This window comes from Homo sapiens, chromosome 21 (assembly GCF_000001405.40).
Source record: "Homo sapiens chromosome 21, GRCh38.p14 Primary Assembly".
Lineage (NCBI taxonomy): Eukaryota > Metazoa > Chordata > Mammalia > Primates > Hominidae > Homo > Homo sapiens.
In genome coordinates, this window is record NC_000021.9 from 46,209,182 (window position 1) to 46,226,123 (window position 16,942).

The window sequence follows — 16,942 nt, forward strand, 5'->3', positions numbered from 1 at the left end:
CTGGCGTCACCTCCATGGGCAGAAGGTGCTTCAGAGACATGGAGGTGCCGTGTAGGCTGTGCAGCTCAGGGTACACAGCCCCTGCCCGTGCCTGGCCCTTGCACACAGTGGCTCCAACATGAGCAGGACGCAGAAACTGCCAGCACCCCCAGCACCCTGCAGGCCTCAGAGAGCTGCCCCAGGTGAGGCCAGCCCGAGGAGGACCGGTGGATGGAGCAGGGGCTAGGGAGGGGATGGGAGGGTGGGGGTGACCTGAAACACCAGTGCAGGAAATAGGGCAGGGTGGAGGTGAGGTGGGCACTTCTGCCTGCAGGAGCTCCCAGCCCTGATCCCCCTCTTCAGCCCCCTCAGAGCCCCAGGCACCGGCCTCACCTGTGAGAGCCTCAGGAACTCATGAGCCTTCTGCAGGCAGGACGAAAACTCGGGCCTGTGGTGCCCGCCCGCCTGGAAGAGACAGCAGGACAGAGAGGCTCAGCTGCCCTTGCACGGCCAGCATGGCTGCGCTGGTTTCCCGATGGTCCTGGCCACATCCTGCCCCAACCGGGGACCAGAATCAAACCAGCAGACATCTCCAGAGAGTGCCAGGGTCTCCTGCTGCACTTACCTTTAAAGACAAAACAGCAAAAGTCCATGAGATATGACTGAAGATGGAAGGGCGCAGGAGACCATTTATGGATGCCAGCACCCCCCTGCCTGGCCAGCATCCATGCCCAGAGGGTCTCCAGCACCCTGTGTAGGCAGGCCCTTTGCGTGGCCCAGCCCTCAGGGCTCTCCAGAAACACCTTCAGAATCCCACCTACCTCATTCCCACCGGCATAAAAATCCACTCTCGTTTTTCTCCAGTACTGGCTCGAGAATGCCCATAACAAACAGTTCCAGTTCTTTTTTTTTTTTTTTTTTTTTGAGACGGAGCCTCTCTCTGTCACCCAGGCTGGAGTGCAGTGGCACAATCTCGGCTCGCTGCACCCTCCACTTCCCGGGTTCAAGCAATTCTCTGCCTCAGCCTCCCAAGTAGCTGGGATTACAGGTGCCCGCCACCACGCTTGGCTAATTTTTGTGTACTTTTAGTAGAGACGGGGTTTCACCATCTTGGCCAGGCTGGTCTTGAACTCCTGACCTCGTGATCCACCCTCCTCGGCCTCCCAAAGTGCTGGGATTACAGGTGTGAGCCACCGTGCCTGGCCCAAGCAGTTCCAGTTCTAAGAAGAGCCTGGAGTCCCACTCCTGCCTGCACTCTCAGAAACAGCCTTCACCAGACTCCCCTTCTCACACAGCCTCCAGCCCCTGCCCTCCCAAGGCCCCCGACCCAGCCCAACACCCAAGGCTGCTGGCCAAGGCCGCCCCCTCCACAGCACGACCCTCTGAAGCCAGAGGCCAGAGCCCAGGTCACTGGAAGTATCGAGGAGTGGCAAGTGTGTGGCCAGCAGTGCTGCCCTCAGGTGGATGCGTGGGCTCACGTGCACAGGAAGGTCAGCTGAGGCTGAGAAAAGAGAAGGAGCCACGAACCTCAAGCAGAGCCTGGATGGCGAATGCGGTGTCCCAGATCTGTGAGCCGTTGGTGCCCTACACACAAAGGATGGTGTTACAGCAGCAGATGCAGCCCCTCCCACTCCCAGCCACTGCCTCCAGGATCCAATGGGCGCCTGAGGGCCAGGTGTGGGGGCTCCCACCCAGCCAACGCTCAGCCTCAGGCTCTGAGCCCTGGGCACCCCTCATGGCTGACAAGGGCCTCAGAGAAGGCTGAGCCCTGCAGGCAGACACACGTCGGGGAGACTCAGGGAGCCCTCCCTTTCTTCATGGGCCACCAGGCAGGACAGTGTCCCTCTGAGGACACTTCTAGGACTGGACGATCCCTTAGAGGCTCCAGCACCTACACATAGAGCATCCAGCTGCTCTCACCCAATGACAGTGGCGCACCTCAGTCATGGTGATGCCTGGAAATGACCCCATTTCTTTTTTTTTTGAGATGAAGTCTCGCTCTGTTGCCCAGGCTGGAGTGCAGTGGCGTGATCTCAGCTCGCTGCAAGCTCCGCCTCCTGGGTTCACGCCATTCTCCTGCCTCAGCCTCCGGAGTAGCTGGGATTACAGGCTCCTGCCAGCACACCCAGCTAATTTTTTTTGTATTTTTTAGTAGCATCGGGGTTTCACCATGTTAGCCAGGATGGTCTCTATCTCCTGACCTTGTGATCCGCCCACCTTGGCCTCCCAAAGTGTAGGGATTACAGGCGTGAGCCACCGCACCTGGCCAATGATCCCCATTTCTGAGTACACCTGGAGGTGATGGGAATTCTGCACAGGGCTGGGAAGGCTCCACCTCAAATCTCACCCCGAGCTGGGCTCACAGGTACACAGCCTGGTCTCAGTTCAAAGGGCCGGTGACCAAACCCTAGTGAGACAGAGCTGGGCACTGACCAGACAGACATGGGGACTGGGCAGGGGGTGGTGTGTGGCAGAGGCATCCAGACATCGTGCACTGGAGGGACAAGGCAGGGACCACCAGAAAAGCATTCTCGCCAAAGAAACACAATGGGATCGAGCCTCAGGGCCTGGCCAGTTTACAAAAACTCAGGGAACATAAGAAGCAACCAGTCAGATCTGCAATGTGAAGCCCTTCAGGAACAAACCTTCCAGGAGGAGAAAAGAGACCACGAGAGACGGCTGGACTAACAGGAGCTCAAAGACCAACAACTGAAGGCCTGTGCAGGCCTGGCCTGAATCCTGATTCACAAACACCAGCCACAACGTGAGGACTACACTCAGGAACCGTCATAAGTTTGTTGGGTGTGACAACCTCAGAGCAATTTTGTCAAAACACAGACGCCCTCATCAGCTTGAGGTGCACTGATGAGTCGGTGCTGAGGGAGCGCTGGGCAGGGAGGGGCAGGGAGGGGACAGGGAGGGGCAGGGAGGCCAGGGCCTGCTCTAGGGCTTGCTACTCACCTCCACTTTACATGTGTTTTGAAAACCTTTTCACAAAACACGGACAGTGTCCGGGGAGCCTCTGGGGAGCTCAAGGCCAGCTGGGTAAAAGCTCGTGGCTGGGGGCACCTGGCACCAAGGGTAGCCCTGGGGCGGGCAGTGCTGGGCCCACGTGTATCCATCCCAAATGTGACACCCAGGACACCTCTGGAGACTCCACATTTCCACACTGAATCAGGTGGGGGACAGAAGACAGGCACCGCAGGGCGTAACCCTCCTTAGACCACAAGACACAGGGCAACACTGTCTGGGCTTCTGACACGCACAGAGGGGCGCAGGCTCAGCCCAGTCGGACAGGACTGCGGTCTACAGGGCCCCCAGAGCCAGGACAGGACCAGGGTCAGCCAGGATCCACCGGCCTCCCCTCTCCTTGTGCTTGGTGCCCCTCATGACTGGGTTCCAGCCCACTCAGGCCAAGTCCACGGGGAGCTCCCAGGCCCGGCCACACGCCACCACGGTCCTCCAGGCTCCTGTCCTGTCCACCCAGGACCTTTAAGAAGAAGCCCCTTAAATTAAGAGTGCATGGAGGAGAAGCCCCCACTAACCAGAGCCACCTCCTGCCACAGTAACAAGATGAGAGCTTCTGCAGCTCTGGGTCTGTCGTTACACAGCTGAGCCCACTCAGATCATCAGGGCAAAAAGCAAACAGGACAGCTGCAGACAGACATCGAGAACGGTGGGCACCCACACAGAGACCAACAGCACCCACAGGGACACGGCCAGAGGCCTCAACTGACTCAGCCTCTAGTCGCACGCTGCCGGGACCTGGTCCAGGAGGAGTTATTTCTGAACCCCAAAGGAAAAATAATAAAGGGGAGACATGATTGCAAAGGAAGCATGCAGCCGCAGTCCCGCAGCCCTTACCTGCATTTTCATGCCGTCAAGGCCCATCCTGTGAGGAGAAAAAAGCCCAAGTCAGGTGCAAGGAGAAAGCTGGAAGCCCAGCTGCTACCCAGACCCTGCACTCAGGAGGGTCCCAGAGAGGCCGTCTGTCCCCTCCCGAGGCCTGGCACTGGCCTGGATGCCACCCCAGCTGGGCTGCTGGGCTCCTGGGGGTGAGGGCCACACTCTATGGAAAACAGGACACACTCACCCAGAAGGGCCACACCCAAGGCAAGGGGCAGCGGGAGGCTCCCCGACCCCAGGCTGTGCCAGCCCTGCCGCCCTCGTGCAGTGCTGAGGCACCAGAGGAAGAGGCCTGTACAGCGGAAGCTTCCCACCATGGGACGGCTCTCTGCCCTCCATGACAGGGGCCCCACCTCCAGGGCACAGTCCATGGCTGACAAGCTCCCCTTGTCCACAGGCCTCCTGATGCCAACCTGAACCTGCCCTGCTACCTACCACCCCCTTCCTCACTCTACCTTCTGGGAACACCCCACACTTCCACTGGGTGGCAAATCTTCCAATTCAAAGACAACCCTCAGTGGCTTCCACAAGCCCTGACACTGCTGGTTCCTGGAGGTATTCCCTGGCAGTATTCCCAGATGGCACCGTGGGGGCCCCCTCACTGGGATGCAGCTGGGGCTCAGATCCAGTCTTCGTGAGAGGCCCCGCCAGCATATCCCAGCCACACTCACCAGAGATAGTCCGGGATTCTGGAGACATGCTCCTGGAAGGCAGTGGAGGCGGGCCCGTCCACATACCAGCGCACAAGCATGTTGATGGTTTTCGAGATCTGCAGGAGAGACAGCCCTGTCAAGGCTCCGCTCCAGACCCACAGCAGCCTCCAGGGACAAGGTCTCGTCCAGATCCACAGCAGCCCCCAGGCATAAAGTGCCGTGCAGATCACTCAGGGCCAGGACAGGGGCCTTCTGCTCTAACAGGCATTTCCTGAGCGAGGATGGGCAACAACTGTGTCCCCAGGACCCAACTCAGACAGAGGCAGTGTCGGCCAAGGCCACAGCCTGCCTTAGGCTGTGAGAAGGAGCAGCACTCCACCAGGGAGAAGCGAGGGGTTCCAGGAGAAACCAGAGGGGCATGGGCTACCAGGTGCCTTAGAGACAACACAGGGGACAGAGGACAGGGCCTGAGGGGCCCAGGAAGAGATGCGAAGACAGGACTGTAGCAGTAGGGACCACTTGCCCCCCTTCTTCCTCAGAACAGAATGTTCCAGAGGCCCCCAACTTTTTACTTATGCATCTCACAAGTCAAGATCCAATTGCAAGCATGTTTCTAATGCGTTTAGTACAGATGTGCTCTATATGGGATTAAACCAAAACCCACAAAGAACCACATCACTGCTGAGCAAAAAACAAGGGACCCGCTGCAGGGTCAGTCAGGATTTGTGATCCACTGAGGTGGCATGAGGCCCAGAAAATCCGAGATGCAGTGTCAGGGTGGGACTCAGTGGCCCAGTGCCACCTGGGTATGTCCAGAGAATGCCTAAGCCAACCCACTACACCGCAGCAGCTACGCGCACAGCTATGGCAGCAGCTGCAGCACAGCCCAGGGCCTGCTGACTCTGTCAGGAGGCGGCCACGCACCAGCACAGCCCGGGAATTGCACCCTCTAAGGTCACTGAACTGGCCACACCTGGACCCCTGCAGGCCCCACAGAGGTGAGAGCTCCAAGTCCCTAGCTAGGCAGGAGGAATCAGGAGTGGCACCTGCTACTCCCACCCACCCTGGGCATGTCTAAACCCCACGGGAGAATGGCGAATGATGAACTGTTTGGGGAGAGGGAACCAAGTGAGGAAAAAGCACCCCTCCCAGCTAGCCAGCTAGCCAGCAAGATCTCAGGGAGGGGCCTCTAGGAGAGTGTCCAGGCACACTGAGGACAAGAGCCGGTGGGGGACGGAAGCGGGGGGTCGAGTGTGGTGGGGCAACTTCACTGAGCTGGGCGTGCAGGGGTCCAGGACAGAAGCCCTCAGACACTTGTGCGATCAGAGGGCCACCTCCCAAATGGAGGTACACCAGGCTCCAGGAAACCCCACTCCCAGCTCACAGCCCGGCCTCTAGGACTTCACTTTCGGACCTCAACCCCCAGGGGCTGCAGTCAGAGGCCGGGCAGGGGCACTGACCGGGCCGATGCTGATGCTCTTGGTGAATCGGTCGTCGGCCACAATGTGTTCATACAGCTTCTGCACGGCCCGCTGCCGCAGGTGGGCACTGTGGTGGTGCTCATACAGGTTGAGGAGCGCTACAGGGGACAGGGGTCAGTGGATGCCAGACACCATGACACTGGCCTCAGCCTGGAGCTCCATGCACTGCAACGCCTGGACTTGCCCTTCCCAGGGTTTCCCCCTCCCACCCACCCCCAGGCCTGGTCTCTGAGCTCCTCCTTCCCTGCCCAGGAGGGGCTGCCCCACACCTCCTACCACACACCCTTGCACAGGGTGGACTCCTGAGAGTAGAAGACCAGCTGGTTCTCAGGGTGGAGGGGCAGGGCGATGAGATCCCGCCCCCTGGGGCCTGGCACAGAGGAGGTGGCCCAGTGCCGCTGGCAGGGGATGAGTGCGTGAATGAGTGGGCGACACCCTGACCCTGACCCTGGGCTGCCCTGCCGGCCCCTCAGGAGGCGCTCACCATATACCACGCGGAGCAGCCAGCTGTGCGGCGTGTACAGCTCGTCGGGGGCCACGTTGTTCCTCTGCGCCAGCCAGTCAATGCTGGCGAAGTCCTCCACATAGAGCTCCTGGTGGGGGCAGTGTCTGAGCCTTGGGGCCTGGGAGCACCTGGTAGGCCTGGCTCAAACCAGGAGGGGTGGCCTCCCACCATCCGCCCTCAGGGCCCTGGGCCAGTCCCTTCCTGGGTGGGGGTCCCTCCAGCAACTGACCCCGAGGCCACATGAAGGCCCCCTATGGGAGGACCGCTCTGAGGAGCTCCCCAGCTCCATGAGTCCCAGGTCTGCCCAGAAGCTCATTTCCTCCCTCTGCCCCTCCTTCTTCCCCATGGCAGGCCTGATAAACATCCTGCACCTCAAACCTCGCCTCAGGCCTGCTTCCAGAGGACACAGTGCACATCTGCCTCCTGCATCCCTTGAGTCCTGGAAGTCCCCCCCAGGAACCCTGGGCTACAGCTACTGACTGTCCCATAGCACAAGTCCCCTCTGGGCAGAGCTTGCTCACTGTTTATTATAGGATGGAGGAAGGTGGAGGCTCTGCTCCACAGGGCTCTCCGCTCCACAGGGCCACCAGGTGAGTGGACAGGTGTGGTTAGATTCCAGAAGCCCCAGGCCCTGTGGGTCCCAGCCCCAGAGGCCTTCACTTTGTTCCCTGATGAGGTCCTACCTGGCGGAGGCTCTGGACCAGCGGGTCTTCCGCGGCACTCAGCCGAACGGCGTAGCAGTAGCTCATGGGCAGGTACACCTGCCGGCAGTGGCACCAGAGTGTGGAGGGGTGTGCCGGTGCCCAGTCAGGAAACAGCCTGGGGCAACAGCAGGAGTCAGTGGGAGACCCCAAGACTCAAGCCTGCCCCCTCCGCCAGCATCCATACCTTGGGCCCTTTCAAGCACGAACACTGGTGGATGGCTATTCCCCACCACGTCAGTGCATCTGCGGGCATTTCCCAACCGTGCTCCTGAGGGGCACAGTTGAACCATAGGTGCACCCTCTGAGGAGCTGCACCTCCTAGTTCGGTCAGCATTTTGCATCCTAAAACCAGGTGATGGAGCTCCTAAATGCTTAGGATTGTCCGTGGGTTTCTTAGCTACAACAAACGTACCTTGGTAACATAAAACATCAACAATGGGGATATGGTGTGAGGGCCCCAGGGAACACTCTTGGCTATCTTTGCAACTTTTCCAGAAATTGGAAACTACTCCAAAATTTAAAGTTTACTTTTAAAAGTGTATTTAAGAAACTTTAGGAGGGGCACGGTGGCTCACGCCTGTAACCCTAGCACTTTGGGAGGCCGAGGCTGGTGGATCACTTGAGGTCAGGAGTTTGAGACCAGCCTGACCAACATGGCGAAACCCCATCTCTACTAAAAATACAAAAATAAGCCAGGCATGGTGGTGTGTGCCTCTAGTCCCAGCTACTCGGGAGGCTGAGGCAGGAGAATCGCTTGAACCTGGGAGGAGGTTGCAGTGAGCCGAGATTGTGCCACTGCACACAGCCTGGTGACAGAGCGAGAGACTCTGTCTCAAAAAAAAAAAAAAGAAAAGAAAAAGAAAGAAAAAAGAAACTGTAGGTCTGTGGAATCTCCCCAAGGCCTGGGTCTTTGATCACTGGTCTGCTGACGTTAGCACAGCTCCACCAGCTTCCCAGGGTCTGTGTGTGCCTCATGTGTTTTCTCTCCCTTTCCCTGCTAGCCCCCATCCTTATGTGATGCCTTATGTGATGCTAGCCCCATCCTTAAGTGAGGGTGAGCAATGCTGAGCCTTCCCTGCTCCCTGACTGTGGCATCAGGCCTTGGCCCACTTTCACACCCACTTACTTAAAAGGGTGTTTTTTTTTCTCACATTTTGGGTTACACTTCCAGCATTTCGCAGCTGGAGTGGTTCAGGTCTGTGGTCCTCCTTTCACCTCCCAACCCACCCTCCAAGCAACTCCAGCAAAGACAAGCAGCACCCTGGCGTGCCCATGCGGCAGCACTGACCGACGGCCCCCCCAAGTGGGGCAGATGAGACGCCCTCACCAGCACCAGCGTGTGGAACCCACACCCCTCCTGCCCTGGCAGCTGTGCTGACTGCCGTCTCAGTCCTTCCTCTGCCGCTCATTACACACGGGCGAGGCGCAGAGTCCAGCGGGCATTTGAATGGCCCCAGGACACCTCCCAACCTATGTGCTCTACGGCCCGCCTCAGGTAGCGGCACCCTAACCCTGCCCCCTACTCTGGTATCTCTGTCTACCCTCCCGGGGTGATCTCACCATCCCTGTGCCTCCCCGTCACCACCCAAACTGGCTTCCGGGGTTAAGCCCCCGGCCTTTGCATCAGGACACTGCTGCTGTCCTTTCTTGAGCGGCCCCTTCACTTCCTGCCTCCCCTAACTTGACCCCCCACCCCCCACCCCCGCACCAAAGTCATCTAACACAAGGGACCCCCCCAGCCCTGCTGATAGCTCTCTAGGGGACACCCCCACCAGGGTTCCCACAACACTCAAGGAAGCCAGCAGGGGCTCTGTGTGGTTCCAGGGTCTCACTTCCCAAAATGCATAACGGGGTAAACTCATATGCACGAGTGTTTTCTGGGGAGATGTCCACTGCTTTCAATAGATAGCCATAAAATGTTACAAGACACCACATAAGGCCGGGAGCAGTGGCTCATGGCTCCCAGCACTTTGGGAGGCCAAGGCAGGCGGATCACCTGAGGTCAGGAGTTTGAGACCATCCTGGCCAACATAGTGAAACCCTGTCTCTACTAAAAATACAACAATTAGCTGGGCGTGATGGCCTGAGACTGTAATCCCAGCTACTCGGGAGGCAGAGGCAGGAGAATTGCTTGAATCCAGGAGGCGGAGGTTGCAGTGACCCCAAATCACGCCACTGCACTCCAGCCTGAGTGACAAAGCTAGACTCCGTCTCAAAACAAAACAAAAAAAACACACACCAGATAATAAGAAATTAATGTTGATTTTGCTGGGTATTTAAACAGTATGTGGTTCTGTTTAAAAAAACAAACACTGATCTTTTTTTTTTTTTTTTTGAGACAGAGTCTCACTCCGTCGCCAGGCTGGAATATGGTGGCACGATCTCGGCTCACGGTAACCTCTGCCTCCCAGGGTCAAGTGATTCTCCTGCCTCAGCCTCCCGAGTAGCTGGAAACTAGAGGCACGCGCCGCCACGCCCAGCTAATTTTTGTATTTTTAGTAGAGACGGGATTTCACTATGTTGGCCAGGATGGTCTCGATCCCTTGACCTCGTGATCTGCCCGCCTCGGCCTCCCGAAGTGCTGGGATTACAGGCATGAGCCACCCCACCTGGCCACAGACACTGATCTTTTAAAGGCACACACGCTGAGTCCACAGGTGAGGTGTCACGTCGGGACACACTTCACATTCACCAGCAAAGGAGACAAACGCAGCAGCAGCAACACAGGACGCCCCTGTGCAGGCTGGGGGAGGGGCACCCCCCCACTTCTACAGATGCTGAGTCTTCCACAGCAAGAGGGAAGCCACCCAGCCCTGCCTGCAGCCTGACTCGGGGTACCTCCATCCATGGCACAGCCTTCTTCCTGCTCAATTGGGAACCTCCCCCTTTCTGTACCCCTACAGGACTCAAGCTTGATCAGGGCCTCTGCCAGGAGCCTAACTCCACCCACCCACAGAATGCCCACCCCTCTCTGCTGTCACAGCCTGCACCTGACCCACGGTCCCTGTCACTCTACTCCCCGGGACAGCAGCAGCGACCCAACAACCCAATCAACAGCAGACATACCACATCTCTGGGAACAGGGTATTGAGGCCTTCCCAGCTGTAAACATTCAGGACAGCCAGCCAGAACTTCCCCCAGGAGGGGATGGCCACAGCACCACCTGAGCGGGGAGAGAATAGGCCCACGTCATCTGCTTCCTGTCAGCAAAGTCTGCACTGCCTCTAGCTGGGAAGCTTCACCCTCTGGGAGTCACGTGTGCCCCTCTCCATGAGGCAAGGGCAGCCTCATGTGGATCTTGCGACCCCCATGTGCGAAGCAGGTTCCAGAGTGCTGAGAACTTGCCTGGATACACGGCCCCCTAGGTGGAACCAGTGGCTTTCCTGGGAGTGTGTGTGTCCAGCCCCAGGAGAGGTGTTTGCAACCCCTGGCCCCAGGAAGGAGCACATGAAGACAGCTACCTGGGAAGGTCCAGGGACACCTCAGTGCTCAGGTGAGCGAGGGGCCCAGGTGCACATGCGCCTGGAGAAGGCAAGGTGGGGAAGTGACAGCGCACACTCAGCCTCGCCCTCTGAGCCAAGCCTGAGCTGCCCCAGTCTGTGTCATCTCCACTTGGCAGACTGGTCCTGTATGGGAACAAAGACGACCCTAGACTCCAGAGTAGCTCCGGCACGCTGGCCCCATGCCAGAGCCACTTCAGCAGCAGCAGTCCTGGCACAGCCACACCATCTAAACATGCTTCTGAGGAGTCCCTGCTCCAAACCCCAAAAGGTATGCAAAAGTCAATAAAGACCCACAAAGCTACTAGGCAAAGTGCAGCCTAAACACGTTCCTTCACCAGGCAGGCGCCAGGAGTGTGGTGGGAACCGGACAGCAGCCTTGGGGACGCAGCATCAACGACACCAAAGGCTGACAGTGAACTGAGGACAATAGTGACAAGCTCACCAAGAAAGAAGGCAGGATCTCATGAGAATGCGTAACAGGACACTCCACCTGGCACGGTAGGTCAGGAAGAGGTCCTCAAAGAAGGAACACGTAAAGTGTGAGCCAGCGGGGCAGGAGTGGAAGGTAAGAGGCTCCAGGCGAAGGAGGCAGTGCATGGCGAGCCCTGGGATAATAAGGGTCTCTGAGGAGCTGACAGGAGGCCCCTGCGCATGCAGCAGAGAGCAGGGCAGGTGGGACTGGCTACGGAAGGTCTGTGAAACACAGAGGACAAGACCAGGCCAGGCTCTGCAGAGCCACAACATAAACTAGGTTTTCTTGGAGCAGCAGGAGCCATGGATTCCCTTGGGCTGGAATTGCCCCTCAGGGCCTATAGGCAAGAGGAGAGGTAGCCAGGCCGGGCATGGAGAGGTAGCCAGGGGCTTGGAGAGGTAGCCAGGCCGGGGCTTGGAGAGGTAGACAGTTGGGGCTTGGAGAGGTGGACAGCCTGGGGCTTGGAGAGGTAGCCAGGCCAGGGCTTGGAGAGAAAGATAGTTGGCGCTTGGAGAGGTGGACAGCCCAGGGCTTGGGGAGGTAGCCAGGCCAGGGCTTGGAGAGGTAGACAGTTGGGGCTTGGAGAGGTGGACAGCCTGGGGCTTGGAGAGGTAGCCAGGCCGGGGCTTGGATAGGTGGACAGCCAGGGCTTGGAGAGGTAGCCAGACCAGGGCTTGGAGAAGTAGACAGTTGGGGCTTGGAGAGGTAAGACAACCCGGGGCTTGGAGAGGTGGACAGCCCGGGGCTTGGAGAGGTGGACAGCCCCGGGCTTGGAGAGGTGGACAGCCCCGGGCTTGGAGAGGTGGACAGCCCCGGGCTTGGAGAGGTAGACGATCAGCTTGGAAGGTGCAAGCTCCAGGGCTGCTCTTGCCTGCAGCCAGGCTGCCCCCAGAAGGTGGACATATTAACACGGTTCGTTTAAGTTTTTGCCAATTCAGGAAACAAACAGAATTACCTGGTTGTCTTAGTTTGCTTGGCTTTATTTTATTAGAGACAGGGTCGCACTCTGTCACCCAGGCTAGAGTGCGGTAGTACAACCAGCTCATTGCAACCCAGAACTCCTGGGCTCAAGTGTTCCTCCTGCCTTACTAGCCTCCAAGTAGCTGAGACTACAGGTGCATATCATCACACCTGGCTAATATTTTATTGTTTTTGTAGAGACCAGGTCTCACTATGTTGCCCAGGCTGGCCTCGAACTCTTAGGTTGAAGTGGTCCTTCTACCTCAGTCTCCCAAAGTGCTGGAATTGCAGGCGTGAGCCACTCACTGTGCCTGGCTCTTAATTTGCTTTTTTAAAAAATGATGCCTAGGTTAAACAGTGTCTGCCTACTTCTGCTTTGACAAATTCCCTGCTCATGTGCTTTTGCCCACTGTTTCAGCTGCAAGTGCATCTTTCTGTATCGCGTTTGTGAGAGCTCATTATCGAGTTGACACGAACCCCTGGCCCAGCACATGCTGCACATGCCGTACCTTTCTTGTGAAGAATGTTCCGGGCTCGTACCAGGTCAGGATCGTCAGGCCCAACACCCAGAATTCTGAGAGACACATAGTTGAGCGCAGTCCCAAACACGGTGGACTTATCCTCAATGTGCCTACAGGAGCAGAGGACAGGTGAGAAACCGGTATCTGTCCTTACTTCTAAGAAATAAAGCAAAACTTTCTGTGGAGTTTCCTCAGAAAACTAAGAATGCTAAAATGCCTTAACCTGACATAACATGCCAACACAGGAGACCCCTGAGCAGCCACTCTGCAGTACGAATTCATGCACCTCCCATGACAACTGAGCCCCCCACTCCTTCCTCACCGTGACCCGCCTGCTCTACACCTTCCCACGCCTGAGTCAACACTTCTAGCTCAAGGGCGGTCCACTTTGGGCTATGGCTCTGCTCCCAAAGTGTGTGCCACATGGCAGGAAAGCTGTCAGGCCTTGTCTCCACCTGCTGCCAGCCCAGAGTCAAGGGCAATTTTCTTCTGCCTTAAGTGATAACAGACTGACAGTTTTCACATGTGGGTCTCAAGAGTGTCCTAACAGCCACAAAATCCATTTAACAAAAGATGTGAAGCCGAGGCCCCACCTGCATGGCCTTCAGCCCACTCCCCGCCTGCTAGTCTCTCCCTCACCCACCCCACACCCACAGCTGCAATCACTCCTAACCCCTGGCAGCTGCCTGGAAACCCAAGCATCTCCTACATCATGAGAACACACACATGCACATGTGCAGTGACACAGGGGCAGGCACACTCACAGGCCCCAGCCACCGTCAGGGAGCTGCACTGACCGCAGGTACCGCACAATCTCTTCTCTGTATCCGGCTGGCAGAGGGATGCGTGCCACGTGGCAAGTGATCAGGAGGCCTGTGTGGCAGGAGAGATGTTCCTCACTGGGGACAGGTGGTCATGACTGCTAAGACCAGGCCCCTTTCCTCCTGAGCACCTCACTCCAACAGGGAGCTACCTCCTTCTCATAAAAACACCCCCTGGAAAGGCCATTCCTCCCAGGCCCCCATGGGGAACTTTGGGAACAGGGCCAGAAGGAACGTCAGCCACAGCACAGGCGATGCTCCCTGCCTAGGGCCTGTAGAGCCCACTCAGCCACGCCTGGCTCCCATGACCACCAGGGTCTGAGAAACACCAGACACTGCACAGCACCTCAGGAAGGTCTCCCCCAAGTGCCCTGAAGGTCCAAAAGGAACCAGCATTTTAGATCAGTGGGCCTTCCATGAGGGGAGACTGTTGGTCTTGCTTTAACATCTGCTGGGAAGAAAAATACAAAATTGGTCACCCTTGCATGTGGTAATACCTACTTATTTATTTATATTTTTCTGTTTCAAAATTTTTTTACAAGCATATGCCGCTTTGCAAATGTCAGGGGGGAGGCAGAGACAATAAATATTATCCACTAAGAACCTTCCGTCCCCAGCCTGGTCCTCTCAGGCATGGTGCTCACAGGCCACCCTCCACCTTCACTCCCCATGCTTGGTTCCATCAGCCATGTGCCCCCAGAGCCTGGCACGGGACAGGTCTCAGGGCAGACCCCAGCCACATGTGCCATGGAATGAATACCTGACTCTGGCTTAGAGCATCAGAAGCCCTAGTGTTCAAACCATCCAGACATGCCCTGTGTGGGCGGCAAGCCACCCAGGCGCCAAGGCAAGAGACCGAGGACACGAGCTGTTCCAGTATAATAAAATATAAAACAAGAATAGTTATACCAGATATAGATCTTAGAGATATATGAATATCATTAATCATTAGTTTGTAGTAATTACTCTTTATCCCAATATTATAATAATCCTCGCTCTACAATCATAACCTAGGAAAAACCAGGCCATACAGAGATAGGAGCTGAGGGGACATAGTGAGGTGTGACCAGAAGACAGGAGTGCGAGCCTTCTGTTATGCCCGGACGGGGCCAGCAAAAGGGCTCCTTGGTCTAGTGGTAACGCCAGCGTCTGGGAAGACGCCCGTTGCCGAGCGGACGGTGGTCTAGCGGTAGCGAAAAGTGTCAAGGAACAACACCCGCTACTTAGCAGACCGGGAAAGGGAGGCTCCCTTTCCCCGGGGGAATTTAGAGAAGACTCTGCTCCTCCACCTCTTGTGGAGGGCCTCACATTAGTCAGACCTGCCCGCAGTTATCCGGAGGCCTGTCTCCCTGTGATGCTGTGCTTCAGTGGTCACGCTCCTAGTCCGCCTTCATGTTCCATCCTGTACACCTGGCTCTGCCTTCTAGATAGCAGTAGTCAATTAGTGAAAGTACTAAAAGTCTCTGATATGCAGAAATAATGGCATAAGTTGTCTTTCTCTGTGTCTCCTCTCTCTGCCTCGGCTGCCAGGCAGGGAAGGGCCCCCTGTCCAGTGGACACGTGACCCACGTGACCTTACCTATCACTGGAGATGACTCACACTCTTTACCCTGCCCCTTTTGCTTTGTATCCAATAAATAACAGCACAGCCAGACATTCGGGGCCACTACTGGTCTCCGTGCATTGGTGGCAGTGGTCCCCCGGGCCCAGCTGTCTTTTATCTCTTTGTCTTGCGTCTTTATTTCTACACTCTCTCATCGCCGCACACAGGGAGAGACCCACCGACCCTGTGGGGCTGGTCCCTACACCCTGGAAGAAGGGCAGATGAACTCAGAGACAGCGCACAGGGTCACATAAAATGAGCCATCCCAAAACAAGCCCGTCTCTTTCCTAACAGTTATAATGTTGTTAGGACGGGGAAATGTGCAGAGAGGAGCAGAGCCAGCATCTTCCTGATTTTACAGGCAAGGAAACTGAGGCTCAGCCAGTAAATGGTGGGGCTAGGAGGTCAGACCCGATTCAGTGTTCACCAGAGTGCTGCCCAATGCCGCACAGGCCACAGTCAATGGGAGCTGTCTACATAGCATCATGGACCAAGAGCATTTTCCAAAGTCCAAAAAGAGGGAAGAAAAGCTCCAACTCAGCCAGGTGCAGTGGCTCACGCCTGTAATCCCAGCACTTTGGGAGGCTGGGGGTGGGGGGTGGGGGATCACGAGGTCAGGAGTTCGAGACCAGCCTGACCAACAAGGTGAAAACCTGTCTCTACCAAAAATACAAAAATTAGCCAGGCATGGTGGCACATGGCTGTAATCCCAGCTACTCGAGAGGCTGTGGGTGGCAAGCCACCTTGGTGCCAAGGCAAGAGACCGAGGGCACGAGCTGTTCCAGTATAATAAAATATATAAAACAACAAGAGTTATACTAGATCTAGATCATACATATGATTATATATGAATATCATTAATCATTAGTTTGTAGCAATTACTCTTTATTCCAATATTATAATAATCCTCGCTCTACAATCATAACCTAGGAAAAACCAGGCCATACAGAGATAGGAGCTGAAGAGACATAGTGAGAAGTGACCAGAAGACAAGAGTGAGAGCCTTCTGTTAAGCCCGGACAAGGCCACTAGAGGGCTCCTTGGTCTAGCGGTAACGCCAGCATCTGGGAAGAGGCCCGTTGCCAAGCGGACCCAACCGTGGTCTAGCGGTAGCGTCAGTGTCAAGGAAAAACACCCGCTACTTAGCATACCGGGAAAGGGAATCTCCCTTTCCCCGGGGGAGTTTAGAGAAGACTCTACTCCTCCACCTCTTGTGGACGGCCTGACATCAGTCAGGCCCACCCGCAGTTATCCGGAGGCCTAACCATCTCCCTGTGATGCTGTGCTTCAGTGGTCACGCTCCTAGTCCACTTTCATGTTCCACCCTGTACACCTGGCTCTGCCTTTTAGATAACAGTAGCAAAATTAGTGAAAGTACTAAAAGTCTCTGATATGCAGAAATAATGGCATAAGCTGTCTCTCTCTCTCTCTCTCCCACTCTCTGCCTCGGCTGCCAGGCAGGGAAGAGCCCACTGTCCAGTGGACACGTGACCCATGTGACCTTACCTATCATTGGAGATGGCTCACACTCCTTACCCTGCCCCTTTGTCTTGTATCCAATAAATATCAGCGCAGCCTGGCATTCAGGGCCACTACCGGTTTCCACGTCTTGGTGGTAGTGGTCCCCCGGGCCCAGCTGTCTTTTCTTTCATCTCTCTGTCTTGTGTCTTTATTTCTACAATCTCTCATCTCCGCACACAGGGAGAAAAACCTACCGACCCTGTGGGGCTGGACCCTACAGGAGGCTGAGGCAGGAGAATCACTTGGACCCAGGAGGCAGAGGCTGCAACGAGCCAAAATTGTGCCATTGCACTCCAGCCTGGGGAACAAGAGC

At 56.5% G+C, this 16,942-nt stretch overlaps 1 protein-coding gene across 4 annotated transcripts in view, besides 2 other annotated features; it reads right to left on the reverse strand.

The window, feature by feature from the left end:
• The window catches only part of LSS (lanosterol synthase), a 40,329-nt gene that overhangs the window by 20,736 nt on the left and 2,651 nt on the right, over positions 1 to 16,942 (reverse strand). For 3 of the 4 annotated variants that reach the window (NM_001001438.3, NM_002340.6, NM_001145437.2), the window contains 10 exons: positions 13,449 to 13,557; positions 12,673 to 12,794; positions 10,295 to 10,391; positions 7,208 to 7,343; positions 6,504 to 6,612; positions 5,999 to 6,117; positions 4,557 to 4,654; positions 3,844 to 3,871; positions 1,507 to 1,563; positions 373 to 444 (listed from right to left, as the gene is read on the reverse strand). In NM_001001438.3, the coding sequence (NP_001001438.1) occupies positions 373 to 444; positions 1,507 to 1,563; positions 3,844 to 3,871; positions 4,557 to 4,654; positions 5,999 to 6,117; positions 6,504 to 6,612; positions 7,208 to 7,343; positions 10,295 to 10,391; positions 12,673 to 12,794; positions 13,449 to 13,557 (947 nt within the window). The remainder of the gene's footprint in view (positions 1 to 372; positions 445 to 1,506; positions 1,564 to 3,843; positions 3,872 to 4,556; positions 4,655 to 5,998; positions 6,118 to 6,503; positions 6,613 to 7,207; positions 7,344 to 10,294; positions 10,392 to 12,672; positions 12,795 to 13,448; positions 13,558 to 16,942) is intronic. The other variant, NM_001145436.2, reaches the window with a different exon arrangement.
• Positions 9,457 to 10,357: an enhancer, noted in NCBI's record as "H3K4me1 hESC enhancer chr21:47638552-47639452 (GRCh37/hg19 assembly coordinates)". NCBI's record gives its function as "activates a minimal SCP1, AML or CMV promoter by ChIP-STARR-seq in primed H9 embryonic stem cells {active_cell/tissue: H9 hESC(primed)}" and the evidence as "EXISTENCE:reporter gene assay evidence [ECO:0000049][PMID:30033119]".
• Positions 11,324 to 11,825: an enhancer, noted in NCBI's record as "H3K4me1 hESC enhancer chr21:47640419-47640920 (GRCh37/hg19 assembly coordinates)". NCBI's record gives its function as "activates a minimal SCP1, AML or CMV promoter by ChIP-STARR-seq in primed H9 embryonic stem cells {active_cell/tissue: H9 hESC(primed)}" and the evidence as "EXISTENCE:reporter gene assay evidence [ECO:0000049][PMID:30033119]".